Source organism: Homo sapiens, chromosome 6 (assembly GCF_000001405.40).
Source record: "Homo sapiens chromosome 6, GRCh38.p14 Primary Assembly".
Classification (NCBI taxonomy): Eukaryota; Metazoa; Chordata; class Mammalia; order Primates; family Hominidae; genus Homo; species Homo sapiens.
Window position 1 is genome coordinate 44,921,476 of NC_000006.12, and position 21,487 is coordinate 44,942,962.

General features: G+C 34.5%; 1 protein-coding gene across 29 annotated transcripts in view, besides 1 other annotated feature; it reads right to left on the reverse strand.

The window, feature by feature from the left end:
- Positions 1-21,487, reverse strand: part of SUPT3H (SPT3 homolog, SAGA and STAGA complex component) — a 568,878-nt gene that overhangs the window by 112,419 nt on the left and 434,972 nt on the right. For 23 of the 29 annotated variants that reach the window (NR_146632.2, NR_146634.2, NR_146633.1 and 20 more), the window contains one exon: positions 11,178-11,288. Coding sequence is in view for 17 of the 29 variants with exons in the window: in NM_001350327.2 (NP_001337256.1) it covers positions 11,178-11,288 (111 nt within the window). In the remaining 12 variants the exon portion in view is untranslated. Of the gene's footprint in view, positions 1-11,177; positions 11,289-21,487 lie in introns of those variants that run through there. The other 6 variants (XR_001743692.2, XR_007059346.1, XR_007059347.1 and 3 more) reach the window with 2 other exon arrangements.
- Positions 8,623-8,824: a silencer, noted in NCBI's record as "fragment chr6:44897835-44898036 (GRCh37/hg19 assembly coordinates)". NCBI's record gives its function as "represses an EF-1alpha promoter that drives an FKBP-Casp9 reporter gene in an ReSE screen in HepG2 liver carcinoma cells {active_cell/tissue: HepG2}" and the evidence as "EXISTENCE:reporter gene assay evidence [ECO:0000049][PMID:32094911]".

Genomic DNA, 21,487 nt, shown 5'->3' on the forward strand with positions numbered 1-21,487 from the left:
AAAGTTAGGTCACCAACATGAAGATCAACCCCTAATACTTTCTTCTTTAGACAGTGGCTTCAGAGAAAAGCACAGTGTAGAAACCAAGCTAGCTCTCTTTTCTTTTTTCTCTTTCTCTTTTGAACACCAAAACCCTGCTTGGATGAGAAATATTTGTCAACTATAACTCATTTACTTATTAGGATCTTACCTAATTAGTCTTGAATACAGGTATGGGTTTTTGGGTTAGATCAGGAATATAGAGTGAAATCAGAGCCAGAAATGTAGTCTCTAACGTCTCTACTGGAAACTGTAAAATCTACACAAGTGTTTGAATTGGATTGACAGAAATCTGTAGGCCAGGCTGTGAACTTCTGCAGCCAGAAAGTCAACTCAAATACTCCCTCCCTGCTATTTCCACCAGAGAGGCACAGCAGCCCAACTGTCACCTTGAATGCGCCTGGGCAAACTCAGAGCCTGACACTGGGCTCTGTCCTCATGACCTCTGCCAACTAATCAGTCAAAATATTTCCTGATCTAGAGAGCATACTCCACCTATTGGGCATATGCCCAGAGCTGCGAGTGCACTCTAATCAGGTGGGAGAACCTATCCAGGTGCCAGGGCAAAAATTAACATCTGACTGACATATGGACTATGAATTTTCTCTTCTCGCATCCTAGAGTCATGCAGAGGCAGTATGTGGGGATGGGAGATTTGATCTGTGCATACATAGCCTAGGGGATTTGGTTTAAATCAAATCATAATTAAAACACTGGTTAGGAAAACAAGGCATAATTATTTTTTTCCCGCACATTTTAACTAACTTGCATATAGTCTTAAATATATGTTGGGCACAATAAGAGTAAGGTATCAGTTTCATTTTTGAAAGGTGCAAATTTCCTATTTAAAACAATCCACTTATTATGTTCTGGGATTAACTTTGCAGCTACATCAGTAAATTAAAGGACATTTCAATGATTACATTTGTTGACTAAAGTTATGTAACACTATTTAAGAAATCACCAAAAAGTAAATCACCTACAGTTCAACAGGCTCTCATCACAGGTATTTGGAGGGGATTTTTTTGTCACACTATCAATAAAACAGTATACAAATGCTTCACTTAAACAAAACACACTTATGAATGTTAGATGTTTCTGGCAATAGTAAATAAATAATCTATTTAAATAGAACTGATATGTTATTTTTCTAATATTCAACTAATTTGTATATAAAATACTTAAAAAATGAAAATAATATTTTTGCTAGGTCAACATGAGCAACTTAATGTACTGAAAGAGTCATCTATCTGAGTATTTATAATCTTCTTGTTTCTTCATAGACTTTAAAGAAGTTTCTTGCCATTTTTACAGCACAATTTTAAAATTTAGAAATAGCTCAACTTAGTTTAGTTTCTCCTGGCTAATCCTTGTGCTGCTTTCATGAATTCATGAGTTAAAAGAATCCTGTAATTTTTTTAAAGCCATATTTTCCTTTTCAGAGTCACTCCAAGGATTTTCTTCATTCGATTTCCATTCCTCCAGAAGACAGCAAAAACCCAGAAACTGTAACAACATTTAAACCTCAAGATTTAGTCCTTTTAGAATATTCCACTCAAAAGGTTTCTATTTGGTATAAATTACCCCTTTCCTTGCACTCATGATCAAATTCTTCCTCTATTCCTCAAGATACAGTATACCTGTTATAACAAAAATAGATTTCTTGAAGTACTACCAATTTAAAAAGACTTTGAAATATATAAACTTGGAGAAAATACAGAGGGATGATTAAGACTGTCATCTTTCATTGCTGCTTTATGTCCCCCATTAGAGAAAAGTGATTTGCTTTTCCAGACTATGTTCCTGAAAATTCTAGGATTCTTTGGAGTATTCTAGGGTCTCCATAGATGTTTGGTTTGAATGTCTATCACAATTTTTGTGCTACTCCAAATAAAGGTTATGTCATCCACTGTTTTATATTTGAACTTTTCATAATTGTTCTGTTGATTAGTAAGTTACGTCTTGGAATTTAGGTTTTGTTTTTGATATTTAAAGCAGCCCAAATATACTCTGAATAAAATTGTGCAAGTAAGTCTATCACCTCAGGATGTATGTCCTGTGCTGAACTAAATTTCAGGTGTTTACTAATAACACAAAGTGAAAGCAGGAAAGAGTAAAATGTGTTTGAACAGTCACTGTATACCACAGAGACAAACATTAGTTATTGGCAATACCAGGATTTTTCAAAACAGAACTGAATAATTTCTTATAAACAAATGTACTGGCTGCCCCAAGGTAAGATATTGCTGCAGAGAGTTTAAATGAGATAAGATCTCTCTTCCCTTCTCCCCACATCTGCCTGCTGATTAAAAAAAACAAAAAACAAAAAAACAATAAACAATTTTATAATAGAACTCCAGTTGGCAATGTAGACTCATGATGTTATGCTTACAATAGCGGAAAATGAAGTTCACCAAATATGGTTTCAATAGACGAAGCAAAATAAATTTAACTCTCAAACTTCAATAAATATTTGTCAGAGAAGGATCCTCAGATGACGGAGATTTTCTTTGTGACATCTTTAAGTAGCTTACAGTGTTTTAAGATTCATTTAAAAATATTTTCCAGAAAACCTTGAAGAATTATGCTGGATAAGAAATCCATATATTGATTCCCTCTAAACACTTTCCAGTTTAGAAATGGAAGCACGTGCCAGATATTGTTAGTGAAACAACTTTCAAACAAATAATTTTTACTATTTCTTTTGCACCAAGACTTTTGCAGGCCTGTATAGCACATTATTAAAAACGGCTGTATTTTGAATCAAACTCTTTTCAATGCTGTGCAATTAAAAATATACAAAAATAAAGTGGACATTAATGGATATAATATTCCAACTGTCATCCATAACTTTGACTTCAAAATACACCTATACTTACTGAGTGAAATTTTAAGAGTGGATCTTCCTTACACAAATACAGACTTAATACCTCTTGGAATACTTGTCTTCTACAGAATTTAGTTTAGGAAATGCTGTAGTTTTAGAATAAAACCACTGAAAGAGTTAAGAATACAGGTCAACCAATAAAGAAAAAGTTTAATGGGTAGGATTAGTAAGAATTTATTGAAGCCTATGGTACCAGTAAGCCATAGAGTATTTAGCTGCTGTACACAGAAAAGGCTCTGGTGATTAAAATTAAAAGTAATTAAATTAAATGTTTCATATCTTTCTGGGAAATACTCACTTTCAGGTTATTCTTATATGATAAATATGCTACATGTTAATTTTTTTCCTTAGGATCAGTGGCCTACAGTTTTAAACATATGTTTGGTTTCCAATCTGTAATAATAGATTTAGTACTCTCAAAAAATTTATTATGAAAATTTTCACTTCCAGTAAAAACACATATAATTTATTTCTACCCAATTTCTACTTGGTATTTACATTTGAAAATTATTCTAATATTTTGTGACATTTAATTTTCCAGGTTGAACACATAAGATGCAGACAAACCTAATGTGCTCATGACATAAATATTTGCAAATATGAAATTCTAGATCAAAATGATCAAAACAATCTGCCATGCCACTTTTGTTTTTAAAAGTTCAATGTGAAGAATTCTTTAAAAATTTTTCATATTTTCGATCCCTATTAGTCCATTATGAACATCCCTAAACTAATGATATGAAAACATCTCTAGTACCCTCTAATAAATTTACATCAAAGTAAATGGGCACAGTAATCTGAGAGTCAGGAGGCTGGATTCTAGGGTTAGTTCTGTCATGCACTTGCAAAGTGTCTTTGGGTACAGCACAAAGCTTCTCAGAGGTCCAGACTAACTGGCTAGCTCAAGTCCTCTCCAGTAAGGACTAGAGATTTGTTTCTACAGATGCACTTAAGGTATTATTCAGGTTAATGACCATGCTTAAATGAGCAATTTTATTGTCTCACTATTCTAGTTCAATAGAAAGTTACCTGATAACATGCAAGTTCAGAGGGTTAACATTTTTCTACTGTGAATATCAGGAGAAACTAAAATAGATTTAGGCATTACAGATGGGATTATGTCATCACACTCGGCAAACACAGTTTCCTTTCTCTGGCTTTCAAAATTACAGACCTGGGTTTATATCAGCAATTTACAGCACTTCCCATTGAGAGCTAGGCTTGAGTAGGTAACCATGGGTACCACCCACTGCTTGTAAATAGTGAAGATCTAGATAAAACATGTCTGACCACCTTCCCTGTGACATAAGAGAACACTAGACTACCCCTCAGAGTTATTTTCTCTGAGAGAAAACACCAAATGCTCTAATCATAACATTTTAAAATGCTCTTTACTTCTAACCCTGAACAAGTAAATTCTAAGAATGTTTTTGTTAAAATCATTACCATTACCATTCAAAAGCATTTGAATTTTTAGGTTGTGAAAAAAATATTCTTCAAACAAATGCCAATGAATTTTCTGATGGGACAATTCATTTAAACCTTTGTTACACCCATTTTTAGACCCTGAGGCCCTTCCTCAATATTGTATTCTTTATATATTCAGGTAGTACATACAAAACATTATCAATAATTTTGGAAAATAATACAGAATAGAAAACAGAAAGACCCGCGATACGCTTGTAGTAATTTAACAGATGATAAATAAAGTAATCCTAATAAATAGGAACTGGATAGATTACTCATTTAATTGATTGGCATATTTTGATATTTAGTTTTTATATTATAGAAACTCTCATTCCATATATTAGATAAAAATGTAGAATTATAGTTGAATAAAAAATAATTAAAAATACAGATGTGTATTTAATCTCAGGTTATACAATTTTTTAAATCTTAAGACAACGGAATATTATAGAGGAAAATACCAGTAGACCTAACTACATAAAATCCTATATATTGAAAACATATCGAATTAGAAAAAAATTAAGATAAATGGAGAACTGGGAAAAATACCTGCAACAAACCTGACAAAAAGTTTTACTGTTCATGACTGATAAATGTCTTAAAAATTTTTTTAATTACAAAAATTTATTCACATAAGTTAGTAGATTCATACAAATAAATCTAATGCCCTACAAAAAATGGCAAAGACATAATTCAATTCAAAGAAATACAAATTATTAGTAAATATATAAAAATGTTCAATATCATTAGTTATCAAATACAAATTAAAACAAAAATATCCTATCACTCACTAGCTGTATGTTAACTTGGGAAGGCTAGTAACAGTCTGTTAGTTTTCTCATCTATAAATTAACAATAGTTTCTATTTGTTAAGGTCGTCATGAGGCCTGTGTGAGTCAGTACAGTGCAGTGCATGATGCATGAGTGCTCAACAAATATTAGCTGCTATAGTTGCTACTTTATTTTTGCCTGGAAAATGACAAAAATAAAACTGATAATATTCAACGCTGATTTGAGTTTATACTCTCATATACCACTTATACAATTATGAAGTCATTCATGTTTTCTAAGAATTATTTTGGTAAGATTATCAGGAAATTTAAAAGGTCCAATCCTTTGATCCAGGAATTTCACTTCTAGTAATCTATCATAAGGAAACAACTAGATAGATGGATAAATATTTACATACAAGAATATCCACTATCACTATTTATAACCTAAATAAAGAACAAAATGGAATGGTTAAGTGAATAAAGGTACAGTTAGATGTATAATGTGTATTATGAAGCTATTACAAATCATGTTTTTAAGGACTACATAATATACTATAAAATGATAAGTAACAATATTAGAATAATCTCAATTTTGCTAAATTATTAATATGTATATACAAAGAAAAAGGGCAGGATGAAAAGGTAGTGATATATTAACAGTAGTTATCTCTAGGATGTAAGTTTTATTCTATTCTTTATTTTTCTATATTTTCGTAATTTTCTAACAGTAGCATTTCTTTCATAATGAGTAAACTGAAGAAACTTTAAAAGTTGAGAAAAATAAGCCCAGTAATTAAAAAATGTATCAACTTTGATATATTCATCAATTTCTGAAAACCTTTTCAATAACTTATGCAAATATGTAAAATCACAAACACTGAAATTGAAGAAACTTTATAAATTAGGTCACCCATTTGTTCTTTAGATTTCTGTTCCACAGAGCTAGTATGCAAAACCTAGCTGGTATGCAAAAAATCGGGTGGTAAGTATGTACACTCAGTTGCTAAGACTTATTTATGATGATCAGTGATTAAAAAAACAATTATATTCTTTAGCCGTTATTAATCCAAAGAGTAAAAATGAATATTTTCAGGAACAATAATTTTTACATGGTATTTAAATTTCAATGGTACAAACTATTAGTCCATAAACAAACCACATTATTATTGAAATTTTTAGTTTTTTTCCGGGCTTATAGAGTAAGGCCAGATAGGCTCGGTGTGTACATATGTGTGCACAGGCACACGCATTTGAGTGTGGTTGAGTGGAATGGTTTCCGCTTACTTTGTATTATTTATGTCTTTTAAAAAATATACCATAGCTACTACTACTTCCACTATTACTAATATAATTTATTAAGAGCTTAGTTCTTACAGTACTTCTTAAATCCTATTATGAAGTATAATCTAATATCCTCACTTTAGGGATGAGGAAACAGCCATAAAGCGGTGAAAAAACCTGTGTAAGGCTACTCAGCTTGTAGGTAGCAGGGCTGGGATCTGGACCCTAGCCATTTAGCTCCAGGATCGAAGTTCTTAATCACCACACAATATAACTTCACATATTATCAACTACTATGAATAAAAATGCAATATAAGATGGCAAGCATCAAAATCACTCAGGACATTCTAGGTTGCAAAAGCACTCTAGAATACTGCAGATCATAGAATCTGAAGTGATTTTTAGAACTAAGAAAAACAAACAAGAAGCAAAAAAGTAAAATTAGTTTCTCTAAAGGTTCTTTAGAGTGTGTATACAGAAAGTGAGGTACGGTGGGCACAGTTGCAAAAGTGTGTATTTCAGGAGAAAGTGTTTGAAGCTAGGGGTTGGAAGGCCTGAATCTTAGCTCTGGTTTAATTTAATTTAATCTAATGAATAGCTTGACTTAGGAAAATTACTTAAGAAGGTAAGATACCTTCTCTTATCTTCTGTGTAGGATTGAGAATAAATGAGAATACAGAAAAGAAACAAGGGCCGGGCGCGGTGGCTCACGCCTGTAATCCCAGCACTTTGGGAGGCCGAGGCGGGCGGATCACGAGGTCAGGAGATCGAGACCACGGTGAAACCCCGTCTCTACTAAAAATACAAAAAATTAGCTGGGCGCAGTGGCGGGCGCCTGTAGTCCCAGCTACTCGGGAGGCTGAGGCAGGAGAATGGCGTGAACCTGGGAGGCGGAGCTTGCAGTGAGCGGAGATCGCGCCACAGCACTCCCGCCTGGGCGACAGAACGAGACTCCGTCTCAAAAAAAAAAAAAAAAAAAAAAGAAAAGAAAAGAAACAAATCACCAATGAAAACCAATATGCCAAAGAGAGTACTGTTGTTAACCACTGAGTGGGGACGGATGGTGTGTGTCTCCACAGCACACATGAATGTGGTGTTCACAGGTGTGTGGCAGGTGACTGATGTTTATGCCATTCTCCCTGTGTACTTCCTACTCCAGGAGCTACTACAATTCAAAGCATTGTTTGTACTCTTCTCCTTCTTCCCCAGCTAACATGGCTTTAAGTATTCCTTTCTTCTATCACTTTAAATAATTCCTAAGGTGAAAAATTCACTTACAATTCTTTATATAATGAATTATATTCCTGAAATTGATCATGTCATTTGGTATAAAATTATTTCAGAAGTCATAAAGTAGACAGAAAGATGACTCGCTAAAAGCAGATTTTTAAATATAGTATCTGAATTATGTTTCCATGTAAACTATTAACAATATCAAATTATTGGTAAATGGATATATATATACACATTGTTATGGGTATTCTAAATTAGATGTTACATTTAAATATATACCAAAAACTCTAGATTTGGGATGACATGCTATGAAGACAAAATCTCTATGCTTCATAAATATAAACTAGTTGTTCATTGGCATTTTAATTTATGAAGTACATTTTACATTGGAGGCAAGTCAGTTCAGCCTTTCTGTATGAAAATATAGGTGTCAATCTATGATTACTATAAAAGCAGTCCACATACCTTTTCTCTTGTTAGGAGCTGCAGCTCAAAGCCAAGGTGGCAAAGTGTCCCCACTGCAGCTTAAAGTACCATGTCAGGTCCTCAGAGTGGACCTTAGGGAAGTGAACATCAGCATCCCCAATCATGGTAAGTTTCTACCATGAGCTCCCTTTTTTTTTTTTTTTTAGCAGCTTGAGGTATGTGGGAGCCAAGACAGGGTGGCCGCGTTATTGACACACACAGTCTACAAATCCATCCCATTTTAATGAGATAATTTTTAACTTTAAAAGGAAGATTTATGTATTATATACCCTGAAACCTGTGTCACCCTGGTCATGCAATTCATGATATAAAAAAGCATAGGTAGCCTGGGCGCTGTGGCTCATACCTGTAATCCCAGCACTTTGCGAGGCCGAGGTGGGTGGATCACCTGAGGTCAGGAGTTCAAGGCCAGCCTGGCCAACATGGCGAAGTTCTACTAAAAATTACAAAAATTAGGCTGGGCGAGGTGGCTCACGCCTGTAATCCCAGCACTTTGGGAGGCTGAGGCAGGCAGATCATGAGGTCAGGAGATCGAGACCATCCTGGCTAACATGGTGAAACCCCGTCTCTACTAAAAAACACACACAAAATTAGCCAGGCGTGATGGCGGGTGCCTGTAGTCCCAGCTACTCAGGAGGCTGAGATAGGAGAATGGCGTGAATCCGGGAGGCGGAGCTTGCAGTGAGCCGAGTTCGCGCCACTGCATTCCAGCCTGGGTGACAGAGTGAGACTCCGTCTCAAAAAAAAAAAGAAAAAAAAATTATTACAAAAATTAGTTGGGCATGGTGGCAGGTGCCTGTAATCACAGCTACTCAGGAGGCTGAGGTAGGGAGAACTGCTCGAACCTGGGAGGTAGAAGTTGCAGTGAGCTGAGATCGTACCAATGCACTCCAGCCTGGGCAAACAGAGTGAGACTCCGTCTCAAAAAAAAAAAAAAAAAAAAAAAGTGCAGGCATATTCACTCTTGTAGTGCGCAAATTCTCATAGCTGAAGAAAATGGAGGAGACCTTTCCAGGTGGTGGTCCCCTCCTGAGGAATAATAACACCTTGGGTGCCCCTCTGGGGTGGAGTTTGTTACCATTTGTTGTTGATTTTGTTTGATTGTTCTACTAGCGGCTAACTGAACCTTCCAGGTCATGGCTTGTTTTATTTTCTAGATGTATTTAAATTAAGCATTTTAAAATTGTGTCATCAGTTTTAAAAAGCCCATTCTTTATGTTTATTAGATCCAAATTAGCTTAGGCAATACCTGAAGCTAGCTTAAAGTGCATTTTTATCATATACTAATACTAACAGTCTTAGATTGTAAAAGTAGTAATACATAAGTACCAGGTTGGACATGGGGGAAAAGATATACACACACACATGTATGTAAATAGTGTCATCAACCACGATGGCTCTCAGGTGATCTGTCCAGTCTATTTTAAAAACAAAAACTTTGAAGAGAGAAGCAGCTACCGCTTCTTTTTGAGGAAATAATGCAGACTTCATGATTAGGGCATTTTCTCCTTGTATCAGATACATTTTCCTTTATGTAATCTTATTCATTACTTTTAGTTACCATTTTAGGTTATTTCTCAAAAATCATGTTTCCCTTTGCTATCTTTTAATTGCTTCTAGATTATTATCAAACACTGCCTCTTTTTTCTTCTTTTTCCCTTCCACTGTCTCAACCTATTCATCATTATTTGACTGTTTTCGATGGATTTGATATTTTTAATCTTTCATTATAAGTTTTTTTTCACTCTCAGTTGGTTTTTAAATTCTTACTTCCAATTATCTCTTATTTTTCTCATTCATAATTTTTCATGTTCATCTTCCTTCTGGCCTGTCATTTAAAACAGCTTCACCCATCATGTAAAAGAAACTTGATTTAATTATTTCTTTTCAATTATAAGACTTCAAAAACATTCATGCAAAAGGATATATTGCTTTAATCAGCAATATTAAAATCATGTTCTTATATAAGATAAACTTCAAATATTAAAAGTGCAAAGTTTCACCATTACAGAGAGCTTCTGGAGACATTTATAAAACATGTTCTTCCTGTTACACAGAGAATCTATCTACATAATTAACAACAACTAAAAAAAATAAAGGATGGAAAGAAAGCATTCTATTTAACTAAACATAAGGAAAAAAGATAATATAGACAAAATCATGACTTTTATGAATAGTAAAATCCACTCAGGTAAAAATGTATACTATGTAATACTATTTATTTTCTCATTTGTTTATGTATAATGTTATACATATACATTTTCATTAGCTTGTTAAAACAGAGTATCAAAAAAGTAAATTTGACTTTCCTCAGTTAGGTATATCAAACTTTACTTTCTGTTGAACTACTTCCTTATAAACAGAGTAGGACTTGAAGAAATTTCTCTTAACACAAATAAGATCTTTTTTTTAAAGGGCCATAAGATGAGCATTTAATTAAAACACACACACCTGCACACACTTTCTTTAGACTGTTGAAATATCAGGTCTTTAATTCCCCATTAAAACAACACAAAACCCTGATTATAAGTTTTCAAATCATTTGAAGATGTAAAAGGCTGTCTGCATTTCAGCTTAGTTCAAAGCCAGTAAAGAAATATCTCTTCTTCTTCCAACTAAAAGCATGTTTAGGAGAAGGATATCTGATAGAAGTGGTAATGCCAATCTAACCAATTTTAAAATATAAAGTGCTACTAGCAATATTTAGATACATATAATTTGAGAATAACGTTTTATAAACCTAAGCTTTGAAAAATAGAAACTATAAACCTCAACAAAAAAACTTAATTTGTAATTGAAAGAAAATAATATTTTGTAGAAAAAAAGTGTCCTTCCAAAAAGAGATGAAAATGACTTTCATTTCCCAAGAGAATTATGCCACTTTTATACAACAAAATTACAGTCACCACAAATTGCTTTCAACAATTCCATTGCTTCTTCATTTGACCACTTGAAAATCAAAATTCTTTCATATTATAAATATAACTTTTTATAACTCTGTTATTACGTACTGTGAATGGGGAAAGTGGGCCAATCCTGTGGCTGTAGCGTCGAATGGCCTCTCTGATGTGGCAGGGCTGGATGGCATCGCTGTGAGCCTCAACACCACAGGCTGCAGTGCTCTGCGACAGAAAAACACATAAATTGTTACTAAATCAAAAACACGCAACAGAACTACAGTGTATAAATATGAAAATAAACCTTTACAAAAGAGACCGGTTTTTCCCTTAGGATGCACATCACTACTGCCATATACTACATCTAAAAAAGAATTCCATTAACAAATCAAAGATGACTTTTACATGACCCCTTTCTAGCAGACCTACCAAACGCAATTTTTATGCCCACAATATTTCACCTAAGCCTGCATGTCAAGACACAGGAGAATACAGCCACTTGCCTGCAGATAAAAAGTGTCATGAAAGCTTACTGAAAGAACCACAGGAAGTTATTTTTTTAAAAAAAACATTTTAACATTTATTATTATAAACGTTTCTTAGGAGCTTCTTTGGCACATTTCTGAAATAACTTGAGGGTCATCAACTTAAAATGAAAAATGTTAAATTATGATACATTTATTTATCATACCTGGGATTGTCATAAGACCATTTCAACTTGGTTTCTAATTTTCTAGGTATCTCAGGACAAAACAAAAACGAAACCAACAACTTTCTGTTTTAATTTGCCGCATCTGTAAAAGGCAGGTTTGCAAGCACAAAAAGATACAAAAAAGATAAGGATTATTTGCGATGAGAGTGTGAATACAAACTTAAGAAATTATAGATGTGTATATGTGTGTTCAGCATGATTTTTCAAAATAACTTATAGGGCTAGGGTTTAGCCCTACAAGTTACCAGCTCTGCCAAGATACATAATATCTCGGGCCTCGGTTTCCTCACCTGTAAATTGGGAAAACAATTATAATTGCTTGTAGGACTGTTGTGAAAATTAAATAAGTTGAAATACATAAACCACTTAGAACAATGCCTGACACATGCTAGGAAATTGTTTTATTTTTATAAAGAGATGTTTCATTTTGTCACCTAGACTGCAGTGCAGTGGTGTGCTCACAGCTCACTGAAGCCTCAAACTTCTGGGCTCAAGCGATCCTCTGGCCTCAGCCTCTGAAGTAGCTGAGACTAAAGGCAAGTGCCACCACATATGGCTAAAAAAAAGGATTAATTTCTTTAGAGATATGGTCTCGCTATGATGCCCAGGATGGTCTTGAACTGCTGGGCTGAAGTGATCCTCCTGACTCAGCCTCCTGGGTAATGTTAGCTAGTAATAGTATTAGGTTATTTAAATTAAGTGTTAAAAATGGGATCGCTAAGTTTTTGAAATGGAAGCTCATTTACTTCAAAGTATAGTAGGTAGCAGATGGCAGGCCATCAACATTAAAGAATTAACTTGCATATTACTATAACGGGTCTAGAAGTCATTTGTAGTCACAGAATTAATATTATTTGTTTTTCTGATAATTACTGTATTTTTTTGATAATTAATACATTTTTTACTCATAATTCTTTGTAGGGAATATAACTCTATAGATAGCAACCTCTATGGATAGCAATTTGGCAAAATCTTATAAAAATGAAAAAGAACAACCTCTTTTACTCAGCAATTTCACCTGTAAGAATTTATCCTACAGATATATTGCACAGGTACAAAATAATATATATACATAAGGATACTTACTATAGTACTAAATGTTCATTAATGAGGGATTGGTTAAATAAATTATCCATTCAAAGAAACAGAAACCAAAGCAACCACTGAAAAGAATGAGGCAGTTCCCTACATACTCCTATGGAGCTATCTCTAAGATATTATATGAAACACTGATCAAAAACTGAAGTAGGAGGTTTACTATGGTAAGTCTTTGTGTTCCCCTAAAATTTGTACGTTGAAATCCAAGCCCACAAAGTGATGGTATTAGGATAAGAAGCCTCTGGGAATTGATTTATCCACGAGGGTGGAGCTCTCATGAATGGAATTAGTTCCCTTTTAAAGAGACCAGGGAAAGACCACTCACCCCTTCTGCCATGTGAGGTTTGGGTGAACAGATGACTGCCTATGAACCAGGAAGTGGGCCATCACAAAACACTGAATTTGCCAATGTCTTAATCTGGGACTTCCTAGCCTCCAGAACTATAAGAAATACATTCCTATTGTTTATAAGCCACCCAGTTTACAGGATTTTGTTATGGAAGCCCAAATGGACTAAGATAGAAGCTAAGTTAGAAAAATTTTGTGACTGCCATTTGTAAGATATGGAGACACATAAGCCAGCCTGGCTGAATCATGCTATTTTTGCCAAAATGTGACATTAAATTATATTAAAATAAAAACATTGAATTTTGTGAAAAATGTCATTAGAGTTTCCATTTTGCCAATTTCAGGTTTATCTGCCATAATTCAGCAACTGTTAACATTAGCATAATGAAGCTACTAGGCGCACTTTTATACTTTCTTGATTTGCTCATTGAGTTCTCCGGAAGGAAGCCTTTAAACGTTATAATCCCAGTTTTTTTTTTTTCCACCTCAACAAATATCTTCACATTCTCTTTGTCTGTCAACATCTAGTCCTTTATCAAGGTGCTAATAATCTGTTCAAATTAAAAATGTATCCAAAGTTTAGAATTTTTAATATAGCAGTGATTCTAGCATTATATTCTTCAAAATTGCTTCAGAAGAATTAACATAAAATGTACATATTTGTTATTAATAATCTTATATCAGCTATAAACACGTGTGAAGAGCATTATACTTATACATCAATTCATCTTTAGCATCCTGATTAGGCCTAAATTTTATGATATTCTTTAAATTTTCAAAAACTAAACCCAAATATTTGACAAAATACTGAGTCCTGTTTATAGAGTATTTGCAGAAATCTCTCTGGGATATAAACTCTGTATTTCTTTAAGAAAAGTACTAGCTGTTTGGAAAAGTTCTCCATATGTCAGGTCCTCTTCCTCTTGGCTGCATTCACACTCTATTCTTGTATCCTTCCATTTTTGTATTAATAGTTCTTCAACTAGAAACTGATGCTGGGTATTAGAAGCTGAAATAGCATATGGAGTTCTACATATTTTCCGGATTTGGCTGTTGTCTCTCTGCTTTTCTCTGCCGGTTTACAATGAACAAAATATCTTAGCAGTTTAAACTCTCAACTGTGATGCAGAAAGTTATACTGAAACTTAGGTTTGCCCCTGGATCTCTCACTGAACCTTTTTCTCCCAACTTAAAAAAGTTCTTGGCAGGGTTAGTGTCCTATCCTTTCTCAGCCTTCCCCTTACCAGAGTGAGTGTTTAAGAAGGATCTAGAATCTCAATCAACTGCATCTTATTCTTTCCACATCTATAATGGTAAACTAGATCTTCTGCTAAATGTAAAATCTTAAGTCTTACAGAGAAGTAACACTTACCTCAGACTAGAGCAACTGAAAGTCTAGTACTACTATTACTAACATTTTGCAGACCACAAAAGTTGATATGATCTGGCCAAGGAAGTATTGTCTTTCTCCTGTTACACACATAGCTCCTCCAAAGTTTCATCCTTATGGAGAATTTTTTTCACATGAAGGTGGGCCATTCATTGGCCAAAGGATATAGTGTACAACATATGTAATTTTCTCATTTAAAAGTTTGAGATGGTAACTGTTAAAATGTAGTTCTTATATAACTAGAAAAAGCTTTTATTTATTTTTTTCTTTGTATAAATGTATGCAGTACAAGTGTGATTATGTTACATGCATAGATTAGAGTGGTAAAGTTAGGGCTTTTAGGATATCCATTTCTTGAGTAACATAGTTACTCATTAAGTAATTTCTCATCATCTACCCCTACTTACTCCCAACCTTCCAAATCTCCATTGTCTATCATTCCACACTCTACCTCTATGTGTACACATTATTTAGCTCTCACTTATAAGTAAGAACATGCAATATTTGACTTTCTGTTTCTGAGCTGTTTCACATAAGATGATTGCCTCTAGTTCCATCCATGTTGTAAAAAATATTATTTCGTTCCTTATTTCTTTTTTGAGACAGCGTCTTGCTCTGTCCCCCGGGCTGGAGTACAGTGGTGCGATCTTGACTCAATGCAACCTCTGTTACCCAAGTTCAAGTGATTCTCATGCATAAGCCACCCAAATAGCTGGGACTACAGGCACACCTACCGCACCTGGCTTATTTTTGTATTGTTAGTAGAGACAGGGTTTTGCCACATTAGCCAGGCTGGTATCAAATTCCTGACCTCAAGTGATCCACCTGCCTCGGCCTCCCAATGTGCTGGAATTACAGGCATGAGCCACTGCACCTGACCCATTCTTTTCCATTTCTGAATATTATTCCATTGTGTATACATGCCACATTTTCTTTACCTATTCATCTGTTGATGGAAACTTAGGTTGACTGCATCTTTGCCAAAGTAAATAGAAGTGCAAATAAACATATGAGAGGAGGTATCTTTTTGATGTAATGATTTCTTTTCCTTTGACTAGATACCCAGTAATGAGATTGCTGGATTGAATGATAGTTCTATTTTCAGTTAAGAAATAGCTATACTGGCCAGGCGCAGTGGCTCATGCCTGTAATCCCAGCACTTTGGGAGGCCGAGGCAGGTGGATCACTAGAGGTCAAGAGTTTGAGACCAGCCTGGCCAACATGGTGAAACCCCGTCTCTACTAAAAATATAAAAAAATTAGCCAGGTGTGATGGCACTTGCCTGTAATCCCAGCTACTCGGGAGGCTGAGGCAAGGGAATCGCTTGAACCCGGGAGGTGGAGGTTGCAGTGAGCCCAGATCACGCCACTGCACTCCAGCCTGGGTACCAGAGTGAGACACTGTCTCAAAAAAAAAAACCGTACTGTTTTCAATAGAAGTTGTACTAATTTACATTCCCAACAACAGTGTACATGAGTTCCCTTTTCTCCATATCCTCACCAACATGTTATTTTCTCTTTTTAATAATAGCCATTCTGATTGGTGTAAAATGATATCTCATTGTGGTTTTAATTTGCATTTCTCTGATTAGTGATGTTGAGCATTTCTTTATATGCCTGTTGGCCATCGGTATGTCTTATTTTAAAAAATGCCTATTCATTTCCTTTGACTAGTTTTTAATGGGATTACTTGGTGTTTTTTTGTTGTTGTTGTTTAGCTGTTTGAGTTCCTTGTAAATTCTGGCTGTTAGTCCCCTGTCGGATGCACAATTTGCAAATGTTTTCTCCCATTCTGCAGGTTCTTTGCTCACTATCTTTTTTTTTTTTTTTTTTTTTTTTTTTGAGGCGGAGTCTCACTTTGTAGCCCAGGCTGGAGTGCAGTGGTGTAATCTCAGCTTACTGCAACCTCCGCCTCCTGGGTTCAGGCAATTCTCCTGCCTCAGCCTCCTGTCACTATCTTATTTCTTTTTCCATGCAGAAGCTTTTTAGTTTAATTAAGTCCCATTGTCTATTTTTTTTTTTTACCTGTGCTTTTGAGGTCTTAGTCATGAATTCTTCACCTAGACCAATGTCCAGAAGAGTTTTCCTCAGGTTTACTTTGAGTATCTTTTTATAGTTTCAGGTCTTATCTTTAAGTCTTTATTCCATCTTGAGTTGATTTTTGTATATGATAAGAGATAGGGGACCAGTTTCATTCTTCTGCATATGCTGATCCAATTCCCCAGCTCCTTTTTCTGAAGAGGGTGTCCTTTCCCCAGTGTATGCTCTTGTTAACTTAGGCAAAGTTTAGTTGGCTGTAAATACATGGTTTTATTTCTGGGTTACCTACTCTCTTCCATTGACCTATGTGTCTATTTTTATATCAGTACCATGCTGTTTTGTTACTATGGCCTCACAGTATAATCTGAAGTCAGGAAATGTAATGTCTTCAGCTTTGTTGTTTTTGCTTAAGATTGTTTTGCCTATTTGAGCACTTTTTTGGTTCCATATGAATTTTAGGATTTTTTTTTCTAATTCTGTAAAAGATGGGGTTGGTATTTTGATAGAGATTGCACTGGATCTGTACAATGCTTTGGGCAGTATAATCATTTTAATGATATTAATTCTTCTGATCCATAAGCATGGGATGGTTTTCCATTTGTCAGTATCCTCTACAATTACTTTCATCGCTGGTTTGTAGTTTTCTTTGTAGAGATCTTTCATTTCATTGGTTAAATATTACTAGATATTTTGTTATTTTCTTTGTAGTACTTTAAATGAGATTGCCTTCTTGATTTCTTTCTCAGCTAGATTATCGGTGAATAGAAACACTACTGATTTTTGTACAATGATTTTGTGTACTCAAACTTTGAATTCATTTATCAAATTTGAGAGGTTTTTGGTGGAATCTTTAGGTTTTTCTAGATATAAGATCATATAATCAGCAAACGGGAATAATTTTACTTCTTCTTTTCCAATTTGGATAACTTTTATTTCTTTCTCCTGCTTTATTGTTCTGGTTAGGACTTCCAGTACTATGTTGAATAGGAGTGGTTAAAGTGGGCATCATTGTCTTGTTACAGTTCTTTGAGGGAACGCTTTCAACTTTTTCCACTTCAGTATGATGTTGGCTGTGGGTTTGTAGTATATGGCCTTTACTACTGTGAGGTATATTCCTTTTAGGCCTAGTTTGTTAAGGGTTTTTATAATGCAGGGATGCTGAATTGTATCAAATGCTTTTTCTGTACCTATTTAGATAATCACGATTTTTGTCCTTCATTCTGTTTATGTAATGTATCCCATTTATTGATTTGTGTATGTTGCATCCTTGTATCCCTGGTATAAAACTCACTCAACCATGGTAATTATCTTTATGATATGCTAGTAGATTTGGTTTGTTAGTATTTTGTTGAGGATTTTGGAGTCTGTGTTCATCAGGGATATTGGTCTGTACTTTTCTGTTTTTGTTGTGTCCTTGCCTGGTTTGGTATCAGGATGGTAATGACCTCATAGAATTATTTATGGAGAATTCCCTACTCCTTAATTTTTTGGGGCAGGTTCAGGAGGACTGGTATTAATTCTTCTTTGTACACATTTGGCTGTGAATCCATCTGGTCCTGAATTCTTTTTTGTTGGGAGATTTTTAAATTACTGATTCAATCTTGGTACTTGTTATTGGTCTATTCAGGATTTCTATTTCTTCTGGGTTCAATATTGGGAGGTTGTATGTTTCCAGGAATTTATCCATTTCTTCCAGGTTTTCTACTTTGTGAGTGTATAGTTGCTCATAATAGTCTGTGACAATCTTTTGTATGTTTGTGGTATCAGTTGTAATATCTCTTGTTCAATTCTGGTTTTGTTTATTTGGATCCTCTCTCTTCCTAGTTAGTCTTGCTAGCAATTTACCAATTTTGTTTATCTTTTTGAAGAACCAACTTTTAATTTCCTTGATCTTTTGTATTTTTTTTTGTCTTTATTTTTATTTAGTGCTGCTCAGGTCTTTGTTATTTCTTCTGATAATTCTGGGTTTGGTATTTTCTTGCTTTTCTAATTCCTTGAGACAGAATGATAGGTCATCAATTTGGGATCTTTCTGCTTTTTTGATATATAGGCATTTAATGCTACAAACTTCCCTTTTGCAATGCTTTTGCTGTATACCACAGGTTTCAGTGCGTTGTGTTTCCATTTTCATTTGTTTCAAAAAATCTTTTAATGTGTCTTAATTTCTTCATTAATCCCATGATCATTCCAGAGGATATTGTTTAATTTCCATGTATTTTTATGCTTTCTGAAGCTCCTCTTGTTACTGGTTACAGATTTATTCCACTGTGGTCTGAGAAGATACTTGATTTTAAAAATCTCTTAAGACTTGTTTAGTGGCCTAACATGTGATATCTATCTTGGCAAATGTTCCATGTGCTCATAAGAAGAATGCATATTCTGCAGTTGTTGGGTAGAATGTTCTGTAAATGATTGTTGAAGTCCTTTTGGTCTAAAGTCCAATTTAAGTCCAATATGTCTTTGTTGACTTCTGTCTCAACCATTTGACTAATGCTGTCAACAGGGTGTTGAAGTTGTCCATTATTACTGTATTGCTGTCTATCTCTTTAGGTCTAGTAATAAGTCTAGTAATATTTGTTTAGGTCTAGTAATATTTGTTTCATGAATCTGAGCCTTCCGGTGTTGGGTGCATATATACTTAGAATTGTTTTAGCCTCTTGCTGAACTGATTCCTTTATTATTATGTAGTGACTTTCTTTGTCTTTTTTCCTGTTTTTGATACAAAGTCTGTGTTATCTAAGTATCACTACTGCTGTTCACTTTTGCTTTATATCTGCATGAAATGTCTTTTTCCTCCCTTTCACTTTCAGTCCATATATGTCTTTATAGGTAAAGTGAGTTTCTTGTAAGCAACATATAGTTAAATCATGTTTTGTTTTTTCCATCCATTCTGCCAATCTGTATTTTTTAAGTGGAGCATTTAATCCATTTATGTCATGGTTAATATTGATAAGTGAGGTTTTGCTCCTGTGATATTGTTAATTATTTTCTAGTTGTTTGATAAATTCTTTGTTTCTTTTTCTCTTTGTGGTTTGGTGGAATTCTGCCAAATTGCCATTTGATTCATTTCTCTTCCTTCTTTGTGTGATATTTTATAAGACCTGAGAATTTTATACTTTTGTGTCTTTGTATGATGGCGAATATTAACCTTTTGTTTCCATGTTTAGGACTCCTTTGAGCATTTTGTGTAAGGTCAGACTAGTGTGATGAAGTCCCTCAGTGTTTGCTTACCTGGGAAAAGCTATTTCTCCTTCATTTATGAAGCTTAATCTTACTGTATACAAAATTTTTGGCTGACAGTTTTTTTCTTCTTTCAGTACTTCGAAAATGCCATCCCATTATTTCCTAGCCTGCCTGTAAGGTTTTGCTGAGAAGTCTGCTGTTAGTCTGATGGGGTTTTCTTATAGGTGACTGAAAAAGGTTTTCTTTAATTAAAACCAGAAAGGTGTTTAAGGAAAAAATAATAGAGGTTCACTAAATTCAAGGATTCATACATTATTATCTCTGGATGGGACATAAGAATGGTCTATTCTAAATGTTTCCAACTCCTACACAATTTTATAGATGAAAGAGTGAAAATACGGGACATGTCCAAGGCTACAACAATAGTATTACAGATATAACTATACATCAAATTTCTTGGCTTGTAATACACGTAGTGAGTGTAGAGATTTTATTATTATATGCAGGATTACTTGAACCATTATAGCATCATAGCTGAGGTTTCCAGTGAGTAAAACTCAAAATATAGCAAAAGTCTGAATATAGAAAGAAGTGTATAAATGAGTAGAAAAATAATTAAAGCCTCTGAAGTGGAACAATATTAATTCTGATGCCACTAAGTTCAAATTCAAGAGAATACAGACATAGACTGGGATAATACTTTCCTCAGGAAAACTTTGTTGTAAAATAACTCCAATTTAATAGTTTTCAACAGGATCGGGAAGAAATGTTTAAATATACGGAGAAAAATGTAAAGAATTTCTAAAAACATAAAAAATTAATTTATGTATACATATCACTAGGTTAATTACAACTCCTTCTCACATACTTTGTGAATCAAATTAACTGAAGAGGTCTTTTAGGTAAGATTTTGTTACCATAGTTTTAGCTACTGAATGAGTTGCAGAGTACAATAGCTGAAATTCTTACAAACTTTGAATAGGTAATAAAAAAAAAAACCAAGTATATGAAAGCACTGTAGACTGATCAAAACCAGACTGAAACTGGAAACGGTAGTATGTACTTTTAGAAGGGAATGTCAGTGGGTGGATTTCCTGTCTTTACAGTTTTAGCCTAAGGGCAGCATCCAGTGGGTAGAGGAGTGGCTAACATATAATCTTAGATCCTTGATAAACGAGATGCCAGAGTTCGCGCAATCACAGTAGGTGCGGAATGAGAAAGGAAATCCCCAAAGGGACAGAATAGAAAAAGGGGGAGCCCCAAATTCGGTGTACAAATTTTACCCAAATATTTTTTTGTGGGTGGGGAGAGATGGGGTCTCACTATGTCCGGGCTAGTCTGAAACTCCTAGGCTAAAGTGATCTTCCTATCTCAGCCTCCTGAGTAGCTGAAATAACAAGTGCCGTCACGTATGGCTTTCCGCAAATCTTTTACTAACCCCTAAGTTCTTCCTGTATGGTATGAAATGCATGCAATCTCACTAAAGCAAAAAGAAATGAAAAGACATTCTAGTTGCTGCCACTGAAGAGGAGTTCAAAGTTTATAGGTGAGTCTAGAAAAGTAACTTCCCTGCTGAACACATATACCAATGCCACTACCACCACCACCAATAAAAACAATATATTCACAGGAATAAAACAGAATCCTAAAATGC